Source organism: Homo sapiens, chromosome 1 (genome assembly GCF_000001405.40).
Source record: "Homo sapiens chromosome 1, GRCh38.p14 Primary Assembly".
Taxonomy (NCBI): domain Eukaryota; kingdom Metazoa; phylum Chordata; class Mammalia; order Primates; family Hominidae; genus Homo; species Homo sapiens.
The window spans coordinates 13,314,237-13,329,626 of record NC_000001.11 but is presented as its reverse complement, the minus strand read 5'-3'; the positions used below and the strand labels follow the sequence as shown (position 1 = coordinate 13,329,626).

The 15,390-nt window shown below is 49.8% G+C and overlaps 1 protein-coding gene across 1 annotated transcript; it reads right to left on the bottom strand.

Moving 5' to 3' along the window:
- Positions 1-7,028: 7,028 nt before the first annotated feature.
- PRAMEF15 (PRAME family member 15) lies at positions 7,029-14,046 on the bottom strand. Its single transcript, NM_001098376.3, has 4 exons — positions 13,969-14,046; positions 10,927-11,235; positions 9,674-10,255; positions 7,029-7,924 (listed from the first exon to the last, which is right to left on the bottom strand). The coding sequence occupies exons 2-4, from the start codon at positions 11,217-11,219 to the stop codon at positions 7,363-7,365; spliced, it is 1,437 nt and encodes a 478-aa protein (NP_001091846.1). The 5' UTR covers positions 11,220-11,235; positions 13,969-14,046; the 3' UTR covers positions 7,029-7,362.
- Positions 14,047-15,390: the final 1,344 nt, after the last annotated feature.

The window sequence follows — 15,390 nt, the reverse complement described above, 5'->3', positions numbered from 1 at the left end:
CCACAAAACCGCCATTGTCATCATGGCCCATCCCCAATGAGCCGCTGGGCACACCTCCCAGACGGGTCGTGGCCGGGCAGAGGGGCTCCTCACTTCCCAGTAGGGGCGGCCCGGCAGAAGTGCCCCTCACCTCCCAGATGGGGCGGCTGGCCGGGCGGGGGGCTGACCCCCCCACCGCCCTCCCGGACGGGGCGGCTGGCCAGGCAGAGGGGCTCCTCACTTCCCAGTAGGGGCGGCCGGGCAGAGGCGCCCCTCACCTCCTGGATAGGGCGGCTGGTCGGGCGGGGGGCTGTTCCCCCCACCTCCCTCCCGGACGGGGCGGCTGGCCGGGCAGAGGGGTCCTCACTTCCCAGTAGGGGCGGCCGGGCAGAGGCACCCCTCACCTCCCGGACGGGGCGGCTGGCCAGGCAGGGGGCTGATCCCCCCACCTCCCTCCCGGACGGGGCGGCTGGCCGGGCGGGGGGCTGACCCCCCCCACCTCCCTCCCGGACGGGGCGGCTGGCCGGGCAGAGGGGTCCTCACTTCCCAGTAGGGGCAGCCGGGCAGAGGCGCCCCTCACCTCCCGGACGGGGTGGCTGGCCAGGCAGGGGGCTGATCCCCCCACCTCCCTCCCGGACGGGGCGGCTGGCCGGGCAGGGGGCTGACCCGCCCTCCCCCCTCCCGGACGGGGCGGCTGGCCGGGCGGGGGGCTGACCCCCCCACCTCCCTCCTGGGCGGGGCGGCTGGCCGGGCAGAGGGGCTCCTCACTTCCCAGTAGGGGCGGCCGGGCAGAGGCGCCCCTCACCTCCCGGACGGGGCGGCTGGCCGGGGGGGGGCTGACACCCCACCTCCCTCCCGGACTGGGCGGCTGGCCGGGCGGGGGGTTGACCCCCCCACCTCCCTCCTGGACGGGGCGACTGGCCGGGCAGAGGGGCTCCTCACTTCCCAGTAGGGGCGGCCGGGCAGAGGAGCCCCTCACCTCCCGGCCGGGGCGGCTGGCCGACCCCCCCCCCCCCGCCTCCCTCCCGGACGGGGCGGCTGGCCGGGCAGAGGGGCTCCTCACTTCCCAGTAGGGGCGGCCGGGCAGAGGAGCCCCTCACCTCCCGGACGGGGCGGCTGGCCGGGCGGGGGGCTGACCCCCCCCACCTCCCTCCCGGACGGGGTGGCTGCCGGGCGGAGACGCTCCTCACTTCCCAGACGGGGTGGTTGCCAGACGGAGGGGCTCCTCACTTCTCAGACGGGGCGGTTGCCAGGCAGAGGGTTTCCTCACTTCTCAGACGGAGCGGCCGGGCAGAGACACTCCTCACCTCCCAGACAGGGTTGCGGCCCAGCAGAGGCGCTCCTCACATCCCAGACAGGGCGGTGGGGCAGAGGTGCTCCCCACATCTCAGACGATGGGCGGCCGGGCAGAGACGCTCCTCACTTCCTAGATGGGATGGCGGCGGGGAAGAGGCGCTTCTCGCTTCCTAGATGGGATGGCGGCCGGGCAGAGACGCTCCTCACTTTCCACACTGGGCAGCCAGGCAGAGGGGCTCCTCATATCCCAGACGATGGGTGGCCAAGCAGAGACGCTCCTCACTTCCCAGACGGGGTGGCGGCCGGGCAGAGGCTGCAATCTCGGCTCTTTGGGAGGCCAAGGCAGGCGGCTGGGAGGTGGTTGTAGCGAGCCGAGATCACGCCACTGCACTCCAGCCTGGGCACCATTGAGCACTGAGTGAACGAGACTCCATCTGCAATCCCGGCACCTCGGGAGGCCGAGGCTGGCGGATCACTCGCGGTTAGGAGCTGGAGACCAGCCCGGCCAACACAGCGAAACCCCATCTCCACCAAAAAAAAACGAAAACCAGTCAGGCGTGGCGGCGCGCGCCTGCAATCGCAGGCACTCGGCAGGCTGAGGCAGGAGAATCAGGCAGGGAGGTTGCAGTGAGCCGAGATGGCAGCAGTACCGTCCAGCTTTGGCTCGGCATGAGAGGGAGAGGGAGACGGGAGAGGGAGAGGGAGACGGGAGAGGGAGAGGGAGACGGGAGAGGGAGAGGGAGACGGGAGAGGGAGAGGGAGACGGGAGAGGGAGAGGGAGACGGGAGAGGGAGAGGGAGACGGGAGAGGGAGAGGGAGACGGGAGAGGGAGAGGGAGACGGGAGAGGGAGAGAGCCCCCTAGTTAATTTTTGTGTCTTTAATAGAGAAAGGGTTTCATCATATTGGCCAGAGTCGTCTCGAACTCCTGACTGAAGTGATCCACCCACCTTAGTCTCTGAAAGTGCTGGGATTACAGATGTGAGCCACTGTGCCTTGTCAATTGCTGGACTTTCATGATACACATGGAGTATCCACAGTATCACAAGGGCCATTTTTTCCATAATCCAATTTATTTATATTATTGGTAGTGAGCTAATGTTGATGTCGCCAAGGTAGCAATTTAGTGACTATACCCATGGTAAACGTTTCCATGCATCACGTGGTCAACAGCATTTGCTACCAAGTGCCACGTTCCATGCTCAGCAGTGGGAACACAGGATGATGGAGACAAAGTTCCTGACCTTTAGCAGCAATATCGAACAAGTGAGATTGTCAAGAAAGAAGAAATCATTGTAAAACATACCATACCCCTACAATTCCGTAATCATGCTCCTGGATATTTAATGAAGTGAGTAAACCCACACCTGGATGTTTACAGCAACTTATTCATAATCGCCAAAACCTGGAAGCTAGCAAGTTGCCCTTCGGTCAGTGACTGGATAAGCAAACTGATCCATCCAGTCAGTGAACTATTATAAAGCTGTAAAAAGACATGAAAAATTCCTAAATGCACGTTATTGTACAAGTGAAAGAAGGCAATCTGAAAAGACTCATCCTGTTAGACATTCCAGAAAAAGCTTTTGCGTTTTTCTAAGGAGACAGTAGAAAACCCAGTGGATGCAAGGGGTTGGGAGCACAATGGGATGAATGGGAAGAGGACAGAGGACTTTTAGGGGAAGAAAACTACTCTCCATGATGCTCTAATGGTGGATACATGTCATTATCCCTTTGTTAAAATCCATAGAATATACAAAACCAGCAATGATCCCTCATGTGAACTATGGACATTGGGTGATAATGATGTGTCCCTGTGGCTCATTGGTTGTGATGAATGCTCTGTGCTGGTGTGGGTGCTGATCCTGTGGGGGTGCTGTGTATTGAAGGGGGAAGAAGGTAGATGAGAACTCTGCAGTTTCTGCTTAGTTTTTCTGTGAATCTAAAACTGCTGTAAAGAAAAAAATAGGCTGGGTGTGGTGGCTCACGTCTATAGTCGTAGCATTTTGGGAAGCCGAGGCGGGTGGATCACCTGAGGTCAGGGGTTGCAGACCAGCCTGGCTAAAATGACAAAACCCTGTCTCTACTAAAAAATAATAATAATAATAATAATACAAAAATTAATCAGGTGTGGTGTTGCATGCCTTTAATCCCAGCTACTCTGGAGGCTGAAACAGGAGAATTGCTTGAACCCTCGAGGCAGAGGTTGCAGTGAGCTGAGATTGTACCACTGCACTCCAGCCTGGGTGAAAGAGTAAGACTCCATCTCCAAAATAAATAAATAAATAAACTCAAGGCTGGGTGTGGTGGCTCATGCCTATAAGGGCTCACTCCCAGCAATTTAGGAGGCTGAGGCAGGTGGATCGCTTGAGCCCAGAATTTCAAGACCATTCTGGGCAACATGGTGAAGCCTGGTCTTCACTAAGAATACAAAAATAAGCCAGGCATGATGGTGCATGCCTGTTGTTCCAGCTACTAGGGGGACTGAGGCAGGGAGATCACCTGAGCCTAGGAGGTCAAGGCTGCAGTAAGCCGTGATCATGCCACTCCACTCCAATCTGGACAACAGAGTGAGACTTTGTCTCCAAATAAAATAAAATAAAATAAAATAAAATAAAATAAAATAAAATAAAATAAAACTCAATATTTTTTAAAACTGTAATGTTTCCTTTCAAAGCTAAAATTGTATTATTCTAAATATATTTTAAAGAAGAAATGATTATTGTTCAGTGTCTTTAAAATTGGTTTTTAAAATCTCATTTGTTTTGACATTTCAAACCAAGTTAAGTATTCTTTTTCTCACCCTCCTTGAGACGGAGTCTTCCTCTTTCACCCAGGCTGGAGTGCAGTGGTGTATTCTTGGCTCACTGCAACCTTTGCCTCCCAGGTTCAAGCGATTCTCTTGCCTCAGCCTCCTGACTATCTGGGATTACAGGCACCTGTCACCACGCCAGGCTAATTTTTTGTATTTTTAGTAGAGACGGGGTTTCATCATGTTGGCCAGGCTGGTCTGGAACTCCTGACCTCGTGATCTGCCCACCTCGGCCTCCCAAAGTGCCAGGAATACAGGCATGAACCACCACACCTGGCCATTAACCATTCTTGAAATATCACGTTGCATTCTTTAAAAGTTCTAATCTTTCATATACATAAATTACAACACAAATATTTATACTCTAATAGTATTCACATTATAGTAAATTTTTTTTCATGCTCTGTCGCCCAGGCTGGAGTGCAGTGGTGCGATCTTGTCTCATTGCAACCCTCACCTCCTGCGTTCAAGTGACTGTCCTGCCTCAGCCTCCTGAATACCTGGGATTACAGGCGAATGCCACCACTCCCAGCAAATTTTGTGTATTTTTAGTAGAGACGGGGTTTCACCATGTTGGCCAGGCTGGTCTCAAAATCCTGAGGATGCCTTGGCCTCCCAAAGTGGTGGGATTAGAAGTGTGAGACACCATGCCCAGCCATAATAATAAATTTTATTTTATCTTTTTTTTTGAGACGGAGTTTTGCTAGGGTTGCCCAGGCTGGAGTGCAATGGCTCAGTCTGAGCTCACCACAACCTCCACCTCCCAGGTTCAAACGATTCTCCCGCCTCAGCCTATCGAGTAGCTGCAATTACAGACGTGCGCCACCACGCCTGGCTAATTTTTTGTATTTTAAGTAGAGAAGGGGTTTCTTCATGTTGCTCAAGCTGGTCTCAAACTCCCAACCTCAGGTAATCCACCTGCCTCAGCCTCCCAAAGTGCTGGAATTACAGGTATGACCCACTGCACCTGGCTCATAATAGTACATTTTTAAAAACACCATAAAATATAATCCTTGCAACACTCAATTATACCATCTGGTCGGATCTATCAGCAGATGGCACCCGAGACATACGGATTGGAAATTTTGATCTTATTATGAATGAATCCAGTCCAGAAATGCCCACCCTGCCCCCTGCTGGCTCCTGGGGCTCTGCTCTTTGGGGGAATCATGATAAAATTGTGGCAGAGAGTAGAAGTTGAGCCCCATTGCATGCCCTGAGTTCTTGTTGCCTCTCTATTATCAGGAAAAGGAGGTGAGATTGAAAGATGAAAAGTGCTGGGACTTCTGCTGAGAAGAGAAAAAAGAACAAGATGTATTGATCTTACTGTGTGCCAGACCCCATGCCAAGCCCTAAACATGAACCATCTCATTGGATCCTACCAAGGTCCCATAAGCTGTTGGACATCATCATCCTCATTTTACAGGAAGCTGAGGCTCTTGGCTAACATCCCTGACAGCAACACCAGCCCCTGAGTACTCAGCAGGATCCTTCACTTGGGTGCCCATTATGCAGGCTTCCTCAACACAGGGAAGGTCACTCATCACCCACAGGCCCTTGATCGTTATCCACCCTTTGATGCTGTCAGATTCCAGAACACGCTGCACTAGTCTCTTCCTTCATAGGGAGAGAGGGGATGTGTTATGAGAAAATCTCTCATCAATCTGACCTAGCTCCCCAAAAAGATGTAACTTTTAAAATGTCAGATGGAAATATTTAAAAAGTGTTACATGCCTGTATAGTTTTAGTATTTTACTTAAAGGGAATGTGGCTGTCTTTACTGGCTACAACCAGTTTAATTCAAGAAGGGCTGCTGGTCATCAGGAGAACAAGCAAGGGTTGATGCTGCCCAGAGTCTCCAGCTAATACACAATATGGACATCCCCTTCCAGGGCAGTGGGAAGAGTGTGGCTCCTTGTGCAGTGAAGCTGACATCCACCAACTAAGGCTTCTGGAAGCATGTGGAGACTCACAGGGAGTGGGCAGGGTCTCAGCATCTGGCTAGCAGTGAAAGACGCTGAGAAGAAGGTGCTTTCCGTGTGGATTGGCTCACTGTTTTTGCCCAGTAATGTTCCAGGCCTTTGGTGTCCACCTAGTGTGTATTAACCCACTGAACAGCCACAGAAAGTAACAAGGAGTTAACAGACATCTAAAGAAGTGAAGAACTGGAGGAGGCCAAGCCAAGCGTGGTGGTCCATGCCTATACTCCCTGCATTTTGGGAGGCCAAGGCAGGAGAATCACAAGGTCAGGAGTTACAGATCAGCCTGGGGAAGACAGCGAGGCCTTGTCTCTACTAAAAAGAAGTATCCAGGTGTGTTGGCTCACACAGCTGTAGTCCTAGCTACTCAGGAGGCTGAGGTGGGAGGATCGCTTGAACCCAGGAAATTGAGGCTGCAGTGAGGTATGATTGTGCCACTGCACTGTAGCCTGAGTGACAGGAGACCTTTAAAAAACAAAAAGAAAAAAAAAGCCTGACACAGTGGCTCACACCTGTAATCCCAGCACTTTTGTAGGCCTACTTGCATGAATCACCCAAAGTCAGGAGTTTGAGACCAGCCTGACCAACATAGTGAGGAAACCCTGTCTCTACTAAACATACACAAATTAGCTGGGCATGGTGTGCATGCTTGTAATCCCAGCCACTTGGGAGGCTGAGGCAGGAGAATCATTTAAAGCCCAGGTGGAGGTTGCAGTCAGCTGAGATGGCACCATTGCACTCTAAACTCCAAGCTGGGCAACAAGAGTGAAACTCTGTCTCCAATAAAAGAATGGGAGGAAAGTGATTACAATAACCAAATTTCATTTAAATGCCTTGATTTTCTTGGGCTGCATCTTATTGATTGGACAACTCAGTCAGTGCCTTTTGTTTTTTCCATCAATAACTGAAGATTCCTGAGGCTTAAACTGGAAAACAGGTTACTTAATAATAGAGGGCACCAGACAGATTCTGCTCAGTTTTCCTTTATTTCTGATTGTTTCTTTACAACCATCCATGCAAGAGTAACTCCCTCATGTATTCTCAAGCCTGAATTCCACTCTAGACATTCAGATTCCCATTTTCGAATCTACAGGACACAGGTCCCCAAAGTCCCATCGAATCCATGGCAACATTTCCCCCAAGTCCGGCCCCTGCTTGATCAGCTTTCCTTTCCCACTTTCAGAGCCTATGTGTGAAATGATGGGTTCTGTGCTCCCTTTAGGATGTACCTAAGACCTAGGTTTTAGTTTCCAAGTGTCCAGAAGAAAGCGTTTGACATACCCATCCAAATAGGCAGGCATTCAACAGCAGTATTGATCTGCCTCCAGGTCATAAAATGACCTGTTGCCACAGTCAGGGCAGTAGTCAGTACAGAACAAGATCCTCTTGGGGTGCCTTAAGTCCCTCACTCTGTTCATCAGCTCAGCCCTAATTTGAGCAAATCTGCTCCAGCAGAGAGTACCATCAGCACCATAACTCTCTCGGGGGGCAGGATACAGCTCCACACATAAGTTTTTGAGTATGATTGTGTGGCTCAGCAGGTTCTCCAGGGTGGCCATGCAGATGGGATTTCCACAGAAGCTGAAGGTGTTGAGCTCAAAGCAGCGGCTCAGGGCAGGCAGGATGGCGTTGACTTGGGAGTCTATGATGCCACAGTCATCTAAATCCAGGTACTCAAGGGTGGCTGCAACTTTTTCTAGGAGAATTTGGAGAGGCACAAGACTATAATTGGTCAGTCTGATGCCACTCAGGTCCAGGGTCTTTAGTTGACTGATACTCGGGCACTGGGATAGATGCTTCAAGTCTGATTCCAAAAGCACACAGTTAGTTATTGTGAGGACTTTTAACGAGGTCTTCAGACAGCTGGGGAGAGAGAGCAAGAAGTTAATTCTGGGGAATCATAGGGGTGAGTGGAGGGTGGTGGGGAATGGCTTCAAGGTAATGGATGGAGACCTTTTTGCCCAAGTCCAGGGTCATTCTGATGGCCTGATGGTCAACACTTAGGATGATGCGTGATGAAGAGCTTTGCCACTGAGGTCAATTCCACTTTAGACCCGGCCCAGTAACTCACACCTGTAATCCCAGCACTTTGGGAGGCTGAGACTGGTGGATTCCTTGAGATCAGGAGTTTGAGACCAGCCTGCTGAACATGGTAAAACCTCCTCTCTACTAAAAATCCAAAAATTAGCCAGGTGTGGTGGCGGGAGCCTGCAATTCCAGCTACTTGGGAAGCTGAGGCAGAAGAATCGCTTGAACCCAGGAGGTGTAGGTTGCAGTGAGCAGAGATCATGCCACTACACTCCAGCCTGGGTGACAGAGAGAGACTCTGTTTTGAAAAAAAAAAAAGGAGAAAAAATAATTCCATTTGAGGCTGAGTCACTTCACCATCATTTATAGGAATGGATCAAGTTCACAGAATCCCTAAAGCTCCCTTTCCTCATCTGTCAGGCAGAAAACCACATCCCTGGGCCGCAGGAGCCCAGTGGAGATTCAGGCATAAAGGACAAACCCAGACAGGATCCTGCAACATCAGCTGGGGTGGGCGGGCTGTAGGCATCCCTGACATGCCTGTATCATCAGCAAACCATCTATCACTTTCACCATTCTTTGTGCCTGCTCCCTGACCCTCTGTTTCAGAATCATGCATTGCCTAGATAATTAATTTACCTGGAGCTCAAAAGAAACTTTTACAACAGGGAATTAGAGATGGGATCATTCATGTTCACAAAACTGTGGGGCACAAAGCTGATTTTCTGACATGTGCAGGTTTGCTGAGCATTCCCCTCTTCAGTGCCCACTTCACTTCCCTACTTCCCATCATCTTCTTAAAAATTATCTTGTTGGCTGGGCGTGGTAGCTCTCGCCTATAATCCCAGCACTTTGGGAGTCCATGGTGGGTGGATCACCTGAAGTCAGGAGTTGGAGAATAACCTGGCCAACATGGTGAAACCCTGTCTCTACTTAAAATATAAAAATTAGCCAGGTGTGGTGGCTCACGCCTGTAATCCCAGGCACTCAGGAGGCTGAGACAGGAGAATCGCATGAACCTGGGAGGCAGAAGTCGCTGCGAGCTGAGATGTCACAACTGCACTGTAGCCTGGACGATCAAAGTGAAACTCCATCTCAGAAAAAAAAAGTTATCTTGTTTGTTTTTACTTTTATTTATTCATTTCTGACAGGGGTCTTGGTATGTTACCCAGACTGGTCTTAAACTCCTAGGCTCAAGCTATCCTCTTGCCTCAGACTCCCAAAGTGATAGGATTACAGGCATGAGCCACCGCCCCTGGTGTATTTTTCATCATCTTAACTTAGACACATGTCCTCAGGAAGAATTCAGAAAGGCACCCTCACTAGATCTGAACCCCCCAGTAGCTAGCTTCCTAGCATGGCAGCCTCTCCATAGCATCTCCCCTAGCTGATCCCTCTGCCTCTATTGGGATGGTTGCATGATACCCATTTCAGGACAGGGCCACCAACAGGACAATGCATGGACATTCTAGTGTCCTCTTCACTGTTTCATCCTCATAGGCTGGCTCACAGTAGATGCCCACTAGTGTTGACTGTAACAGGCTCTGCTGTGGTCTGCAGAGAAAGCTCACCATCCTCCCTCACCTGAGCAGCTGGTCCAGGTGGCCTTCGAGGAAAGAAACAGAGTTCATATAAAGCTTTTGGAGGCAGCGCAGCTTGAGGAACTGAGTGGTGAACTGGGTAACAATCTCCTTCTTCTGCTCTGGGGAAACGTAGCGAGAGACATCCATGTGGGAGAGAACGAGCTTCTGAAGATTCCTCATGTGGCCCAGGTATGGGGTAAACTGTGTCAGGATGGGCAGTACCCACTTGCAATTCACTTCCACCTCCTGGATACAGTCTAGGTTCACCATTTTCAGGATGCTTCTGATATTGCGGAAGGGCATTCCCAAAATTTTCAGCTTCTTACAGCACAGGTGTAGTAAATCTTTCCTCTGCTTGACCCATAGAAGGAGGTAGGTGAGGTATTCATCCAGAGTCCTGTTCTTGAGCCAAAGTTCTACGAACACAGTCAAGGGCTGCCGTCCTCTCATCCTTGGACAGTCCTGCACTGGTTTTTTGTTCCTCTTGGCATTGAGGAAGCACCCATGGGCCATAGCTTCAGACCAAACCATCCAGAAGTTCTCACAGACATCCTGTAAATCCAGCACTTGGAGTTTCCACCTCCTGTGGCAAAATAGAGGTGAGACTGAGAATTTAAGAACTCATTTCTGAACTTAAACTCCACATCCTGGATAGCAGCTCCTCCCCTCCCTGCTTGTTGTCCCTCTCTCTGACTTTTCTTCACTCTGTTTTCCCCTTGGATCCTGCCCACTTCCACATTGTTTTGTTTTTTTTTTTTTTTGAGACCAAGTCTCCCTGTGTCGCCCAGGCTAGAGTGCAGTGGTGTGATGTCACCTCACTGCAACCTCTGCTTCCCGGGTTCAAATGATTCTCCTGCCTCAACCTCACAAGTAGCTGGGATTACAGGAACCCACCACCATGCCCAGCTAATTTTTGTATTTGTAGTAGAGTTGGGGTTTACCATGTTGGACAGGCTGGCCTCCAACTCTTGACCTCAGCCTCCCAATGTGCTGGGATTACATTGTGAGCCACCGTGCCCGGCCCAGTTCTCACTTTTCATGGTGCCTTTCAGTGCCATTAGAGGAGAGGTTCCTGTTACCTCCATGGACCTTGCGTGGTGAGCAGTGCTTTCCCTGAGGAGCTGGTGAATGGCCAAGTCCTCTCGGCTTCCTCACCACCACCATCCCCCTTGGGCCTCCTCACTTCACATGACCCAGCTGTTCCTTCAGTTGGACACCTGGGCCCTCCCCACCAGCCCACCTGGGCCACCTCACCTGGGACGAACCCCTTGGGTAAGCAGTGCATCAAGCCCATCGAGCACAGCTTGGAAGGCCTCCAGACAAGGCATCTTTATCAGAGGCCTCAGAGGGAGGCGGCGGAAGGGCCAGGCCTGCACCATCAGCTTCAGGGCCTCACAGCGTCTCCTGCTGAAGGCCTCCATGAACAGTGGGGGGAAAAGTTCTGTGGGCAGCTCCTCCAGGGTGGACATGGCCAAAGCTTGGTCCCTCAGCAGGCTCCGCCCTGCAAGCTCCAGGAGTCTGGGTGGAGTCCGGATGCTCATCTTCATGAATCTGCAGGGAAAACTTCCAGAGGACAAACCCAGAGAAGAGGCATCACTCTCAGGCCAAGCCCATGCAATCTCATCTTCTCCTATGGCCAAACTCACTGCTCTGGCAATGGTGAAAGAGTCCTCAGTTTACTCCAATTCTACTCTGTACTCAGTGGCCATTAAGCCAGCATTCTGCCTCTGCTGCATCAGCATGAGCGTCTCCGAAGCAGTGAGGAAGCAGGGCCACCACTAGCCCTTCCTTTCTATCCAGTGCTCCATCCAGTGACTAGTGAGTATGGAGGAACCTGAAAGTGAACCCCTCCTACCATTGGGGGAAATTACTAATTACTCAAGGATCTAAAACAATGGGAATGGGAGTGTCACAAGCCTACATGCCCACATTTTCAGTTCCTACAAATAAGCTTGTTGGGAACATTCATGGGGCATCCCTAGAACAGGTTCTATTTGTTTTCTTTTCATTATTTAAGCTTGCTTTCTCTTTCTCTCTCTTTCTTCTTTCCTTCTTTCCCTCTCTCCCTCCCTTCTTTCTTTCTTTCCCCCTCTCTCTCCCTTCTTTCTTTCTTGTCTTCTTTCCCTGCCTCCCTTCTCTCATTCTCTCTCTCTTTCTCTCTCTCCCTCTCTCACTCTTTCTGACAGAGTCTTGCTCTGTCACCCAGCCTGGAGTGTAGTGGTGGGATCTCAGCTCAGTGCAGCCTTGACCTCCCAGCTCAAAGGATTCTTCCTCCTCAGCCTCCCAAGTTGCTGGGACCACAGTTATGCATCACCACACCCAGCTCATCTTCTATTTTTTGACTTTTTGTAAAGACAGTGGATTTCGCTATGTTGTCCAAGCTGGTCTTGAACTCCTAGTCTCAAGCAATCTACCCCTCTTGGCCTCCCAACATACTGGGATTATAGGTGTGAGCCTCCACCCCAGCCTCATTATTGAAAATTTCAGTGAGAAGCTTTGAAAGCTATGTGACACTGTTATGCATCATTCGCAAGATAGATGTTTCCAATGCACTCCTGTTACACATGTTCAAACTGAACCATTTTGGCTGGGTGCAGTGACTCACACCTGTAATCTGAGCATTTTGTGAGGCCGAGGCAGGTGGATCATCTGAGATCAGGAATTCAAGACGAGCCTGGCCAACATGGTAAAACCCTGCCTCTACTAAGACAGCAAAAATTAGCCAGGTGCAGTGGTCTGCGCCTGTAGTCCAAGCTACTAGGGAGGCTGAGGTAGGAGGATCACTTGAACCCAGGAGGCAGAAGTTGCAGTGAGCTGACATTATACCACTCCACTCCAGCCTGGGGAATAGGCTAGATTGAACTGAGAGACAGAGAGAGCTACATTTGACTAGACTTCTTAATCTCTACCCAGTTAATCCTTATTGGATTTTTGGCTTTCTTAAAGAATAACTGATCGAATTAGATATTAATCCATCAAAATGAAAGATTTCGGGATAGGGTGAAAGTCCAGGACTCATTCACTGATTCCCTTCACAAACATGGAGTTTTACTAATATGTGTCCTTCAAAGTCCTGAGTGTGAGACAGGGAAGGGTTGAATCTCTTCCTGATATTAGACAGAAAGAAAGAAAACTTGAAATTATCCTTGTTGAGGGATCCTTGGCCACATCAAATTTATCAAAATATTTCAGAGTTAAAACAGTTTTCAAAGACAGAGATGACAGTCCCTAAGAAAACACAATAGAAATCTTCATGTAACCCATGATCACCTGGGTCATATAATTTTTTTTGGTGCTGAGGGAGCTGAGTCTCACATCGTCGCCCAAGCTGGAATGCAGTGGCACCATCTTGGCTCACTGTTACCTCGGCCTCCAAGATTCAAGCAATTCTCATGCTTCAGCCTTCCACATAGCTGGGACTACAGGCATGCACCCCCCACAGCCATGTCTCCATTTGGGTGGAAGAGGATGTGATTGGTTTAAAATTACGGTCAAAGATCCTTTTTGATTGATTTTGTTTTTGTTTTTGGACAGAGTGTCTCTCTTTTGCCCAGGCTGGAGTACAGCAGTGGTATGAGCATGGCTCACTGCAGCCTCAATCTTCTGTGCTCAAGTGATTCTCCCACACCAGCCACCCAAATAGCTGGGACTACAGATGCATGGTGACTCACAGCTGTAATCCCAGCACTTTGGGAGGCCAAGGCAGGTGGATCACTTGAGGTCAGGTGTTCGAGACCAACCTGGCCAGCGTGGTGAAACCCCACCTCTACTAAAAATACAAAACTTAGCCAGGCATGGTTTCAGATGTCTGTGACACCAGCTTCTGAGGATGGAGACTGAGGCATGAGAATTGCTTGAACCCGGGAAGTAAAGGTTGCAGGGAGTTGAGATCGTGCCACTGCACTCCAGTCTGGGCAACACAGTGAGACTCCATCCCCACCCCCAAAAAAAACGTTGTGCAGAGGAGGGTTTTTGTCATGTTGTCCAGGTTGGTCTCAAATCCCTGGGCTGAAATGATCCTCCCACTTTGGCCTCCCAAAGTGTTGGGGTTAAAGGCATGAGTCACTGCTCCCTTCAAGAATTTTAAAATGGCATCAACCAAAGCACAATCAACTTTTTTGAAATAAAGACAGAACTGCATTTAGAGGAAAAAATTCAAAGCTTCCAATTGTTCATATAAAAAAAAAAAAAAAGGACAGGATATAGCTCTGTGCCATCGTAGGCTGCACTGTCACCATCCCAGACCGACTGACTGTAGGTCAGATGGGAGTGTCCTTACAGAAATTAGTGACTTACCAGATCTGGATGTAGTCTAGAAGGTGCTCAGACCTCAGGAAGAACCAAGCAGGAACTCCAGGCTTGAAGACTTTGGGTCTCTCCTGTGGGTCTTTAGAAGCTTTTATTGACCTTTCTAATCACAACTCCCACCCACGCCCCTCCACGTATGCACTGCTAGCTTCCAATCAAAAAGCAATATCTGATTGCATTTGTGAAGCTCCACCCAGTTAATCCTGATTGGGTTTTTGGCTCTCCCCAGATTAATGGATTGAGTCAGATATCCATTCATATCACATATCTGTATTCAGTTCGTGAAGCAAGAAATTGACAGTGTTAGGGATAGGGTAGAAGTCAAGAATACATTCATTCAAGGGTGGGCGAGGTGGCTCATACCTGTAATTCCAGCACTTTGGAAGGAGAAGGTGAGTAGATCACCTGATGTCAGTGGTTCAAGACCAGTCAGGTCAAAAAGGTGAAACCCCGTCTCTACAAAAATACAAAAATTAGCTGGGCATGATGGCAGGCACCTGAAACCCAGCTACTTGGGAGGCTGAGGCAGGAGAATTGCTTGAACCCAGGAGGCAATGGTTGCAGTGAGCCAGAATTGTGCCACTCCACTCCAGTCTGGGTGACAGAGGGAGATTCTGTCAAAAAATAAAAAAATCATTCATTCATGAACTCCACAAACACTGATGGTATTTTATTAATATGTGAACTTCATAGTCTTGAGTGTGAGGCAGGGAAGGATTTGATCTGTTCCCGACATTAGACAGAAAAATAAAATCTGAAAGTAGTGTTGTTAGGGGATCTTTGGCCACATCAAAATATAAAAATGCTTTCTACTTTAAAAAGCTTTATAAAAACAGAGGAGTCATCACTACGATATCAGAATAAAAATCTCAATGTATTCAATGGTCTTTGGGATTTTATATAACCTAAGGTAGCAGATTACATGCTCGTTCTGGTGGAGGAGAGGTGCTACTGAGGGCGTGAGTGGTCTCAGTGCTTAGGTTAAGGCTTCTTTGGAAGAAATTGAAACCACATCGATAAACTTTATAAATTTAATCAGTGAAGAAGGGAGGGAGAGAAACAAAAATAAACCAAGCTTGCAACACATTCAGCATTCATCAGGAGGTCTTCTTGCTCTCTGACCTGGTTCCTCATGGTTGCTGGCAGCCTACTGTTCCAAAATCATATAGACCTTAGATTACAGTTCCCCTTAACTTCCCTGCAGACAACGATTTAAGCATTGTAAAACATTAACTTTTTCATCTGAGATATTCTTTCAGGTTCTGCATGTCAGTGAAACTGCTGATGCCAGCTGATCTGAAGGGCCCTGCAATGCACCAACTCACCAAAGAATGCAGTTTCTACATCCTGTTGACTTCTTCCCTCTTACCGCTACCCCAACTTTCCGGCCCCTTGCTATCCAGGATCCAC

Bases quoted from the DNA above. Each gene is read 5' to 3' on its own strand.
- PRAMEF15 (NM_001098376.3), bottom strand. From the start codon at position 11,219: ATGAAGATGAGCATCCGGACTCCACCCAGACTCCTGGAGCTTGCAGGG. The intron at 10,256-10,926 runs GTGAGGTGGCCC...ATTTTGCCACAG, and splicing joins ACCCAAGGGGTTCGTCCCAG to GAGGTGGAAACTCCAAGTGC. The intron at 7,925-9,673 runs GTGAGGGAGGAT...CTCTCTCCCCAG, and splicing joins CACCTGGACCAGCTGCTCAG to CTGTCTGAAGACCTCGTTAA.